Here is a 12,286-nt window from a genome sequence, read left to right on the forward strand (position 1 = left end):
TGTTGATGTCATGTGAGCTCGCTTTAGTAACAGATAGAAGGACTGTGTTTCCTTGTTGATGTCGCGTGAGCTCCCTTTAGTAACAGATAGAAGGGCTGTGTTTCCTTGCTGATGTCATGTGAACTCCCTTTAGTAACAGATAGAAGGACTAAGTGTGTTTCCTGGCTGATGTCACGTGAGCTCCCTTTAGTAACAGATAGAAGGACTGATTGTGTTTCCTTGTTGATGTCGCGTGGGCTCCCTTTAATAACAGATAGAAGGACAAACTGTGTTTCCTTGTTGATGTCACATGAGCTCCCTTTAGCAACAGATAGAAGGACTAACTGTGTGTTTCCTTGTTGATGTCACATGAGCTCCCTTTAGTAACAGAAGGAGTAAGTGTGTGTTTCCTTGTTGATGTCATGAGCTCGCTTGAGTAACAGATACAAAGGACTAAGTGTGTATTTTCTTGTTGTTGTCAGGTGAGCTTGCTTAGTAACAGATAGAAGGACTAACTGTGTTTCCTTGTTGATGTCACATGAGCTCACTTTAGTAACGGATAGAAGGACTAAGTTTGTTTCCTTGTTGATGTCACGTGAGCTCCCTTTAGTAACAGATAGAAGGACTGTGTTTCCTTGTTGATGTCGCGTGAGCTCCCTTTAGTAACAGATAGAAGGACTAAGTGTGTTTCGTTTTTGATGTCACGTGAGCTCCCTTTAGTAACAGATAGTACTGTGTTTCCTTGCTGATGTCACGTGAGCTCCGTTTAGTAATAGATAGAAGGACTGTGTTTCCTTGCTGATGTCACATGAGCTCCCTGTAGTAACAGATGGAAGGACTAAGTGTGTTTCCTTGTTGATGTCACGTGAGCTCCCTTTAGTAACAGATAGAAGGACTAACTGTGTTTCCTTGTTGATGTCTCGTGAGCTCCCTTTAGTAACAGATAGAAGGACTAACTGTGTTTCCTTGTTGATGTCGCGTGAGCTCGCTTTAGTAACAGATAAGACTGTGTTTCCTTGCTGATGTCACGTGAACTCCCTTTAGTAACAGATAGAAGGACTAAGTGTGTTTCCTTGTTGATGTCACGTGAGCTCGCTTTAGTAACAGATAGAAGGACTAAGTGTGTGTTTCCTTGTTGGTGCCACGTGAGCTCCCTTTAGTAACAGATAGAAGGACTAAGTGTGTATATATCAATGTATTAGCATAATATATTTATATTATGTATTAACATACAATATTATTTTATTATATGTTACATAACTAATTAACATGATTAAATAAATGCTGTGACTTTACCTGTATATCGAATTATCTAGACTCCTAGAAATATGGTTGCAGGATGAAGACTTTACCCTTGCTGAAATTTCTGTGCCTCTCCTCCCTGCTTCCAGAAAGGCAGTGTTGGAAAATGCCTGTCTCAATGCACACTCAACAGCACTGTTTTTTGTTTGTCTGTCGTTTTTTTGAGATGGAGCCTCATTCTGTTGCCCAGGCTGGAGTACAGCGGCCTGATCTCAGCTCACTGCAACTTCTGCCTCCCAGGTTCAAGCGATTCTCCTGCCTCAGCCTCCCAAGTAGTTGGGATCACAGGCGTGCACCATCATGCCCAGCTAATTTTTGTATTTTTAGTAGAGATGTGGTTTCACCATGTTGGCCAGGCTGGTCTCAAACTCCTGACCTCAGGTGATCCACCCGCTTTGGCCTCCCAAAGTGCTGGAATTACAGGCGTGAGCCACCGCACCTGGCCAGCAGCACAGTTTTTTAATCTCTATCATTTTGATATTTAAATATATTTGTATCTTGTCAATTTATTTGCACTTTTTATTATTTGTATTTATAATAGCTTTGTTGAGGTAAAATCAATATAAAAAACTACACATATTTAGTGTACAATTTGATAAGTTTGGACATATGCATACACTGATGAAACCATCATTAAAATCAAGATTCATTATTCATGCTTTTGAACCTAGGTTTCATTTTTTATCTACTTACTGTTTCTTTTGTAGTAAACTGTCCAGTACTTGACCAGTTTTTCTATAGAAAGGGCAGTGTTTTATATGGGAGGGGTAGCTTACATCTGTAATCCCAGCACTTTGGGAGGCCAAGGCAGGTGGATCACCAGGTCAAGAGATTGAGACCAGCCTGGCCAACATGGTGAAACCCCGTCTCTACTAAAAATACAAAAATTAGCCAGGCGTGGTGGCGGGCGCTTGTAATCCCAGCTACTTGGGAGGCTGAGGCAGGAGAATTGCTTGAATCCGGGAGGTGGAGATTGCAGTGAGCCGAGATCGCGCCACTGCACTCCAGCCTGGGCGACAGAGCGAGACTCTGTCTCAAAAAAGGGCAGTGTTTTTATTAATGATTTCATGGTGTCAATTATACAGCTATATAGATACACACATGTGTTTGTGTATATAGTGAGTTGAATTGTCTCCCCTCAAATGATATATCCATCCGGAACCTGTGACTATGGCCTTATTTGCAAAACAAACAAACAAACAAACAAAGTCTTGCCAATGTTATAAAATTAAGGGTTTTGAAATGAGGTTATCTTGGATTATCCATGTGGTCCCTAAATCCAATAAGTGTCCTTATAAGACAAAGACAGACAAAGATTTGACACACACAGATGCACAGAGAAGGCCATGTGAAGACAGAGGCAGAGATTGGAGTGTTGCTGTCACAAACTACGGGACACTTGAAGCCACCAGAAGCTGGAGACGAGGAAGGGGCCTCCGTAGGGCCTCCAGAGGGAACACAGCCCTGCCAACACCTTGAGTTCAGACTTGGAGCTTCCGTGGCTGTGACTCTGTGAGAGAACCATTTCCAAATGTTTTGAGCCACCGAGCTTATGGCGCTTTGTTCCTGCAGCCCTAGGAAACTCTGTGAGTGAAGGTAATTGTGTGTTTCTGTATCTATCAGACTAGTCAACGTCAATGTGACTCAGTGTAATTTAACTTCACCGCCTCACATCCTTGCTGTCTGACCTAAAGATTAAAAATTCTCTCAGAACTTCTCTAGCTCTTGCTTCTATGTGGTAACTGCATTGAATTTTTTAGTACATCCCAAAAATTGAAAGATACATGGTAAGCCATGTATCTTTCCTGCCTGCCAGTTTGTCATTTTTCACATAATAAAGCAAGGTCACTCAAAGGTATTTTTTTCTTGTCTCGCTACTTGACACATTCAACCATGTTTATAAGCTCAAAGAAAAGAGATGGCCAGTTTGCTAAAATGAAAATATCATTCAATCCTGAAGATTTCATTCTTCCATAAAAATTGTCCTATGTAAAGATGACTAAGTATGATTTCAGGCATCACCTTTCATACAAGTCTTCTTCCCTAAGACCTATCCACTGCTCTTCTCCACTGTGGTTTTAATATTTTAATGTTTCCATAGCACTAGATTATGAGATCCATGAAATCAAGTATTGTGCCTCCCTGAGTCTCCAGGGTGCAGCCCTGGCCTTGGGACATAACCACTGCTTAGTAAGTGCTTATAAGATAAATCCTCAAAACCTTGAAATGAATTAAGTGCTTGTCCATTAAAACATCCCCCTACGTTGGGGGACTAAATTCAGACTACTATATAGTTAGGAAGAGCACAAATGCAAATACATGGGGTCATAGGTAATTTGTTTCTTCAAAGACCATGTAGACTTCTCTTTGGCAATTGCAAGGGAAATTCTATCAATCATAGTCCACACATGGATATAAGCCATAAGTAACTCTTTTCCATGCTTGCTTAGCACAAAGCCTTATATACTCTAGATTTGGGGTTATGTTTTTTTTTTACAGTAATATATGTAAAGCAATGTCACAAACCTGAGCACCTCACGCATGCAATTTAAACACTGGAAACCAACTATGTGGAGAGTATAGCAATGGTTTGACTCTGAGGTAAGAAGCACGGTGAAAGAACTGGAAATAAACCCTGCATCTGAGCTTTATGAAGAAGCGATTATAATCAATACCAAAATGAAAAAAAGAAACATCAACAGCTACTGTGAACCAAGGTCTTCACAGTTTTGCTTCTTTCCACTAATCTTCCGAAGAGGTTATTTTGAGACGATATGTTCAAAACACTATAAGCCATTCTTCTCCAAGAAGTGGTGACAATTACTTTGCTTCTTGCTTCCCACTCCTAAAAGGGAAATTTAATCAAGATTGTCAGTTCTTACAAGAAAAAGGGAAAACGCACACACACATTCAAGCTCTACTTCTATAATCAAATAAAACCATCAAGAATTAATCAAAACTTGACTCGAAGCCCTTCCAGAACTGCAAAGCTCACATGGCATCCCAGAGATAGATGATACCATGATCTTTGATGTACACAGTGGAGCATTTGATAAAATGGTGATGTTTTTCTGCCATAAGTGGTATAATTACGCTATGCATCATATGCATCCATTTAATAATATCCCTGTTCACAGTCAGCCAGGCATTTCTCACAAGCTGGCATCTTCACAGGCCACTTGTTCTGCTGATTCCACTTTCTTCTGTAGCTGGGCAGGCTGCAGCCCCTGTTTTTTCCCTTACCAGGCAAACTAATGATCTAGTGCTTTCTTGCGTGTTGAGGTTAATAGATAACTAATATATTTCAGCACATTCATTATAGCCAGTTTTCCCCTAAGAAAAAATTGCACATTTGGGTCTTCTGCCTTGACAAATGTGGTGCTTCATCTTGAAAGTTGATTAAAATCAATACCTCTGTAGAAAATTACACGCAAAATGTATTAGTATCCAGTATATTCTGATAAGAATGCTTCTCATTCATAACTCTGATACCAACCCGCCCACCGCAAACAAAACAAAACAAAACAAAACAAAACAAAAAATAAAAGAAACACACACACACATGCTAAAACTGGATGCAAGCACTCATGGGAATAACAGTGTGTTTTTAACCAACAATAAAACTAAAAATTACTCATCAGTTAAACCATGGCTCATAATTTAGGAGAAGTTACATTTTGAAGTCCTGTTTTATCTCCAATTGAAATTTCAGAAGCCTCCAGAAATTCTATGGTATAAACTTTGCAATTTTAAAAATACATCATTTCAAAGCCAGCGGTCTGGAAGAAAATTGCCTATGCTAATGAACAAATATATAATTTTCACTAAACCATACAGCACACTTTCTTACATCAACTTTTTTCATCTCATCTCCTGATTCTCTCCCACAACCCATGTGTTAACCACACTTACCTTTTAACTTTTCTCCTAAAATATTAAGCCTTTTCCAAACAGTTTTGCTAGACAAAAATCCCTATTCATCTTTCAAGGTCTAGCTCAAGTGTTGCATAACTGTTGTTCAAGTTACTGAGGCTGTGTAACAAACAACCTCAAGACTCAGGTGCCTAGAACAAGCCCAGATTCTATCAGTCAGAGACTTGGACAGGACACAGCAGAAATGCTTGTATCCGCTCTGTCATGTGTGGCATTTCAGATGCAAAGATCCAAAGGCTGGAGGTGACCCAAAGGCTGTTGGTTGGAATCAACTGGAAACATCATTACTCACATGTCTGGTGGTTGATACTGGTTGTAGGCTGGGACCTCAGCTGGGGTTCTGATTTGAGAACCTTCATGTGGCCTCTCCATGTGGTCGGGCTTCCTCACAGTACGGGGGTCTTCGGGTATTCAGATTTTATACATGGTGGCTCGGGGCTCCTCAGTAAGTGAAGCAGATGCCACATGATCTTGTAAGAAAGGAAAACTTTTCCTCCATCCTCTTAGGTTCTGCAGCTTAATTTGTGAATTAAACTGACAAAAGAAGGACCAACGAATGAAGAGCATACAAATTTTATTTGTTGTTAATATTTTTATATGCATGGGAACTGCAGAGAAAGAACTAAAAAAATCCAAAGAAGTGGTTACACTTAGGAGCTTACCTACCATTTTAACAAAGTACGATAAATTGTGGGGAAGCAACCAAAGAAAAGGGGCTTGGGCTTCTAGGGGCATTAAATTGTAGGAAGGTAAATACATGGGAGAAACTATTATAGAAAAGGGTTATTTAGTTAGGTTTCTTTATGTAGAGTAATCTTGATGCTGTCTCCTCTTCTTGGTATGAGAACAAGGGGACACCTTTATAATGGAAATTTATTCCTTGCTTTTAAGCAGATAGAGGAAGGGTAAACAGCTCTTCTCGCATCTTCTTTTTCTCAATTGCCTTCAGCTTAAAATAAAAATTAAAAATTTAAAAAATAAAATTTATGCAAAAGTAACATATATTAGGGTTGTATATTCTGATACTCTTCAACATTTTCTGGTCTAGCCTCCAGAGTCATTCAACATCAACATCACTTTCTCTACATTCTGTTGGTTATAAATAAGTCAAAGGACAAATAAGACAAAAAAGTATTTGTATTGTTAATACTGAGAGGTGACAACGTGCTAGCAGCCCTCACTGGCTCTCAGCAACTGCTCTGGCGGTGCTCCAGGAGCCCTTCAGCCCACCGCTGTGCTGTGGGGGCCCTTCTCTGGGGCTGGCGGAGGCCCGGCGGCTCCCTCTGCTCCCCACCAGGTGTGGAGGGAGAGGTGCAGGTGGGAGCGGGGCTGTGCATGCTCACGGGCCAGTGCTGGTTCCGGGTGGGTGCAGGCTCAGGAGCCCACACTCGGTGTGGCCGGCCGGTGCCTACTGGGCTGCCCCCTCTGGGCTGCCGGAATACCCAGGCTAGGTGCCGCAAAGCCTCAGGGCAAGTGTCATTGAGAGGTGAAGCCAGCTGGGCTTCTGTGTCGGGTGGGGACTTGGAGAACTTTTCTGTTTAGCTAGAGGTTTGTAACCGCATCAATCAGCGCTCCGTGTCTAGCTAATCTGGTGGGGACTTGGAGAACTTTCCTGTCTAGCTAAAGGATTGTAAATGCACCAATCAGCGCTCTGTGTCTAGCGAAAGGTTTGTAAATGCACCAATCAGCGCTCTGTCAAAATGGACCAATCAGCTATCTGTAAAACGGCCCAATCAGCTTTCTGTAAAATGGACCAATCAGCTCTCTCTAAAATGAGCCAATGAGAGGATGTGGGTGGGGCCAGATAAGGGAATAAAAGCAGGCTGCCCGAGCTAGCAGTGGCAACCGGCTAGGGTCCTCTTCCAGATTGTGGAAGCTTTGTTCTTTTGCCTTTGGCAATAAATCCTGCTGCTGCTCACTCTTTGGGTCTGCACCGTCTTTGGCAGCTGCTGCTCACTCTTTGGGTCTGCGCTATCTTTATGAGCTGTAACACCGTGAAGGTCTGCAGCTTCATTCCTGAAGCCAGTTAGACCACAAACCCACCAGAAGGAAGAAACTCTGGACCCATCTGAACATCTGAATGAACAAACTCTGGACACACCATCTTTAGGAACTGTAACACTCACCGCAAGCGTCCGTGGCTTCATTCTTGAAGTCAGTTAGACCAAGAACCCACCAATTCCGGACACAATACTATTGGATGTATGTTTGTTTGGTGTTTTCTTTGGTGAGTGAGTTTGTTTGTTTGTAACTGCTAAAAGAGTAGAGAGGAATGAGAGGGGGTTGAACTGCAACATCACAGAACACCTTAAGATGTAAGATTTAGGGTGTCTAATAGGCCATCTTAATTTGTTTGTGTTGCAACTGTCCCCGATATGGGAGTATTGAGAGGGGCATCCTTTAAGTGGTGATTGGATCACAGGGGTTATCCCCTTATGAATCAATCTACTCATGGATTAAAGAACTAATGGGTTAATGGATAAATGGGTTATCATGGGAGAGGAACTGGTGGCCTTATAAGAAGAAGAGAGATCTGAGCTAACACGCTAGCATTCTCGGCCTCCTTGCCATGTGGTTCTCTGAACCACCTTAGGGCTTTTCTGATTTCCCATCAGCAAGAAGGCCCTCACCAGCTGCAGACCCCCATCCTTGGATTTCTGAGCCTTCATAACTCTAAGAAATTAGCTTTTTAAAAATAAGTCACCTAGTTTCAGGTATTCTGTTATAAGCAACAGAAAAATGGACAAAGTATGTCTTAAGTAAATCTCACAATTGCCTGTACGGTAGATATAAATAAATATTATTACTCCTATTTTACAGAAGGCAGAATCAGAGAGGCTCAGCAAATGCCAGAACTCAAATTCAAGCGCAACTCTGCCTGATGGAAACTCAGGTGATTTCCACTCTGCCTCCACCTGCATTCCTCAGCACCCTGCAGTTGGTCCCCAGACTCTATGCTCCATGCTGCTTGTGTTTGTTGGTTGGCTGGTTTCGTGTTCATGTGTTCTGGCTTCTTCATTTTGGGTCTTTACATCTTTACATCTCTATAGCAGTTCTTCCCATGTTGTGTAGCAGTTGTCTCTACGTGACAGTCTGTCTTGTGAGGTCGAGCTCCCTGAAGGCAGCAAGCATGTAATTGGTAAATTCTCATCAGTTAGCCATGTCTGGAACATGGTAGGTATTCAATAAAGGTTTTTGCTCATTTAATCAACTGTTCATTAGCATTTACTGAACCCCTACTGTGTGTCCAACACCGTAGCAGGCACTGAGGATGGAGCGGTGGAGAAAAACAGGCAACACACTCTGCACTCCATCTAGTGTGCAGAAAACATGCAAATAGTCATATACACCAAAACACTTCACACAACACAGACACTGCTGTAACATGCAAATAGTCACATAAACAAAACACTTCACACAGCAGACTGACACACTGCTGTAACATGCAAATAGTCATATACACATGAAAACACTTCACACAGCACCCTGACACCCTGCTATAACATGCAAATAGTCATATACACATGAAAACACTTCACACAGCACAGCGACACATGGCTATAACACGCAAATAGTCATATACACATGAAAACACACAGCACACTGACACGCTGCTATAACAAATAGTCATATACACAAAAACACTTCACACAGCACACTGACACGCTATTACACGTAGATAGATACACGAAAACACTTCACACAGCACACTGACACTGCTGTAACATGCAAATAGTCATATACACATGAAAATACTTCACACAGCACCCTGACACCCTGCTATAACATGCAAATAGTCATATACACATGAAAGCACACTGACACCCTGCTATAACATGCAAATAGTCATATACACATGAAAACACTTCACACAGCACACTGACACACTGCTATAACATGCAAATAGTCATATACACATGAAAACACTTCACACAGCACAGCGACACATGGCTATAACATGCAAATAGTCATATACACATGAAAACACTTCACACAGCACACTGACACGCTGCTATAACAAATAGTCATATACACAAAAACACTTCACACAGCACACTGACACGCTATTACACGTAGATAGATACACGAAAACACTTCACACAGCACACTGACACACTGCTGTAACATGCAAGTAGTCATATACACAAAAACACTTCACACAGCACACCGACACACGGCTATGTCAGAAAGGCGTGCAGTACTCTGTGAGTGTAGGATGGTGTCGAGAGTCAGGAAAGAGTTGTGAAGAAAAGGGTATGTGAGTGAGGGGTCAAGGCCGAGCATCTAGGTGGAAAGTCCCGGCAGAGGGAGCCGTGCAAGCATCCCCTCAGGCAGCAGGGACGTGGCACGACTGGGGGACCGGTGGCCCGAGGGCAGAGGCAGAGCCGGGAGTGTGCGAGGTGAGCATGGAGAGGAAGCCACTACACCCCAGAAAAAGGCACTCCTCCCACGAACAGGAGAGTCCACAGAGATTTCTGCAAAGGGAGAAGCCATGAGTGCTCGTTCAGTGCCTACAGTGTTTGGGGCAGCTGTGCATTTTCTTCACAAATTCATTCTTTAAGAAACACTGCTCCATGCGTTATACGAGACAGAAAATCCCGGTTAATACTAACAGATCCTTAGCTCGGGATTGTCCGGAGCAGGCACGCTGTCGGCAGGGGCTGCTCTGGGGTCTGTGGTGTCAGGGGCTCCCCAGAAGCTGCAGCGCAGAAATGGGGGAGGCTGAGAGCGACTCAGGCCTCTCTGCAAATGAAGCTGAGGGGAGATACCTTTCCGATCATGCTGGTGATGAAACTCGCAGACACAAGTGACTAACCAATTGATAAGTATTGCTCACTACTCGCAGAAAATATAGATTTTTTTCTTAAAAATCATAGACAAAACACAGTTAAATAATTTAATGGTTATACCTTTCCTGACATACTATGTAACCTTGGCTTATATGCCTGGCTTAGAGATGTTTTCCAAAGTTGTGGTGTAATAAAAACATTTAAATAGTGAGTATTCCGGTGGTATTTTTGAAATGGCAGTTACCAGCAAATAAACGTCTGTTTGGACGTGGTAACAGGGAAACTACTCTGCATCCGTTCACCCCTCTCAACAGTTGATTCTCCTGCAGCACAGAAGACTTTCTTTATTTATGAAGCAAACGTCTTCTTCACTCCCAGGACTTCACCACTGGTAGGCCACCCTAGCCTGTCTCTAATCATCACTTCATCGTCTTTCACAACCTGCATTTTCCCTACCCCTGATTTCTCATTCTGTTATTGACCTCTTGCACATTCCCCCTCTGGTGTGAATTACTTTTGCCGACTAAACTCAGGCATGGTACCAAAACTATAATTTGAGCTCACCCCCATGGTCGCAACCTCAGGCTGATCGCATGACCTAATCTCAGCAGAATCCTCCCAGCTCAGGGACCGCACTCTCAGACGGCAAGGCCAGTGATCCCTCAAATTCATCCCACGCAGGTGAAGACAGCTCTTCCCTCAGAAGACGCAGGTTGCAGCTAGCTTGAGGAGAGATCAATTCTTCCCATGCAAAGGCACGAATATCCTGTGGCTAAAGTGTATTGGAATTTCCCTCTGATTAAGTATGTTTATAATTCCATCTGCAAAAACCAGCAGTAAGCTGAACTGGAAAGCATTACCTGAGATTATATTTCCATTTTGCCCCATTAAAAAAGACTAGAATTTAATTTTATCTCAGCACAGATGCTTAAATCGAATGCGTACTTCCTTAGGAATGAAGAAATAGCAATGTATGTAAGGATAAGTAAGTCAGAATGAGAGAAAAAAACAGTTTTTAAAAAAAGTACAGGTGACTAAAGCAGCATAGGGCTAAGTAGGTTTAAAGGATGAAGACATTAATAAAGAGCTTCCTGCAGGGTTATCAACAGAAATACTTTTTCATAGAAATTAGTGGGGTTTACACACTGCATGTTCTCAGTTATAGGTGGGAGCTCCAAGCTATGCATTGAGCACACATGGACGTACACATGGGAACAACAGGCGCTGTGGACTGCGCGGGGCAAAGAAGGGAGGGGCATGCATTGAAAAACTAGCCAGGGGTACGATACTCACTAGCTGGGTGTAATACACCCATGTAACACACCTGCATGTGAACCCCCATATCTAAAATAAGAGCTGAAACTTTCAAAGAGGAGCAGTTACTTTGACTGACTTTTATTAGTAGTTGTAACTCTTTTCTTTTCCTGGAAACCTGAGTCCTAAATTGGAAGGTAGTAGCCACAGGGTACCGTAGTTCAGACAGTTTTTGAAGATAAGCAATTAAAATAGATCAGGGAATGGCTCCTTTTCAAACTTGTGAGCTAAGAATCCAGAAAGCAGGTTGTTCCAAGACGATGCTGTGAAAGAAAAAATTGGCCTTTCACTGGGGACAGGGTTCTTTCCAACCTTATGTCTGGCTCTTGTACTTTCTCTTTCATCTCCTTTGTGACCCCATGGACTCTCAAATTGAAATGAATTAAATTTATTCACATTAAGGCATTAAACTACTAATGGCTTCATGTGTTCTGTCTTCCACTGGTGTTTGTATTTGATAGAAAATAATGCCCTAAAAAATGAATGGTTTAGGGAAGCTAATGGAAGAGATGAAGGCTGGAAGGGGCAGGTTCTCAATCACATGACGTTCAGCGTGCTCAGCTACATAATCAGCTCAGAAAGGAGCCTGAACATTGATTCTCAAAGTGTGGGCCAAAGTCCCCTGGGACATCCTGAGACTTTTTCAGTGGCAACAGGAGGCCAAAATGACTTTTATAATAATACTAAGATGTTATTCGCCATTTTTACCCTCATTCTCTCACAAATATACATGAAATTTTCCAGAAGATTCATGATAGGTGACTTCATAACAGATTAAATGCAGAAACAGAATAGTAGAGTTATCTTTTATTAAGCTACACATTAAGGAGATTTGCAAAAATGTAAAACAATTTCTCTCTTCTCAACACATTTATTTGGTTTTAAAATAAATGTGATTAATATACGATTAAAATAAATTACAAAATTAAATATAATTTTAGAACTAAATAAATTAAAATAAAAATTAA

At 41.9% G+C, this 12,286-nt stretch overlaps 1 long non-coding RNA gene across 1 annotated transcript; it reads left to right on the forward strand.

Moving 5' to 3' along the window:
• The first annotated feature begins 2,271 nt into the window (after positions 1 to 2,271).
• LOC105379565 (uncharacterized) lies at positions 2,272 to 8,417 on the forward strand. The gene is made up of 2 exons (XR_951449.3): positions 2,272 to 7,441; positions 8,035 to 8,417. It is a non-coding gene; the product is annotated as an uncharacterized LOC105379565 (long non-coding RNA).
• The last annotated feature ends 3,869 nt before the right edge of the window (positions 8,418 to 12,286 follow it).

The sequence above is a fragment of the Homo sapiens genome, unplaced genomic scaffold, assembly GCF_000001405.40.
Source record: "Homo sapiens unplaced genomic scaffold, GRCh38.p14 Primary Assembly HSCHRUN_RANDOM_CTG34".
In the NCBI taxonomy this organism is placed as follows: Eukaryota; Metazoa; Chordata; class Mammalia; order Primates; family Hominidae; genus Homo; species Homo sapiens.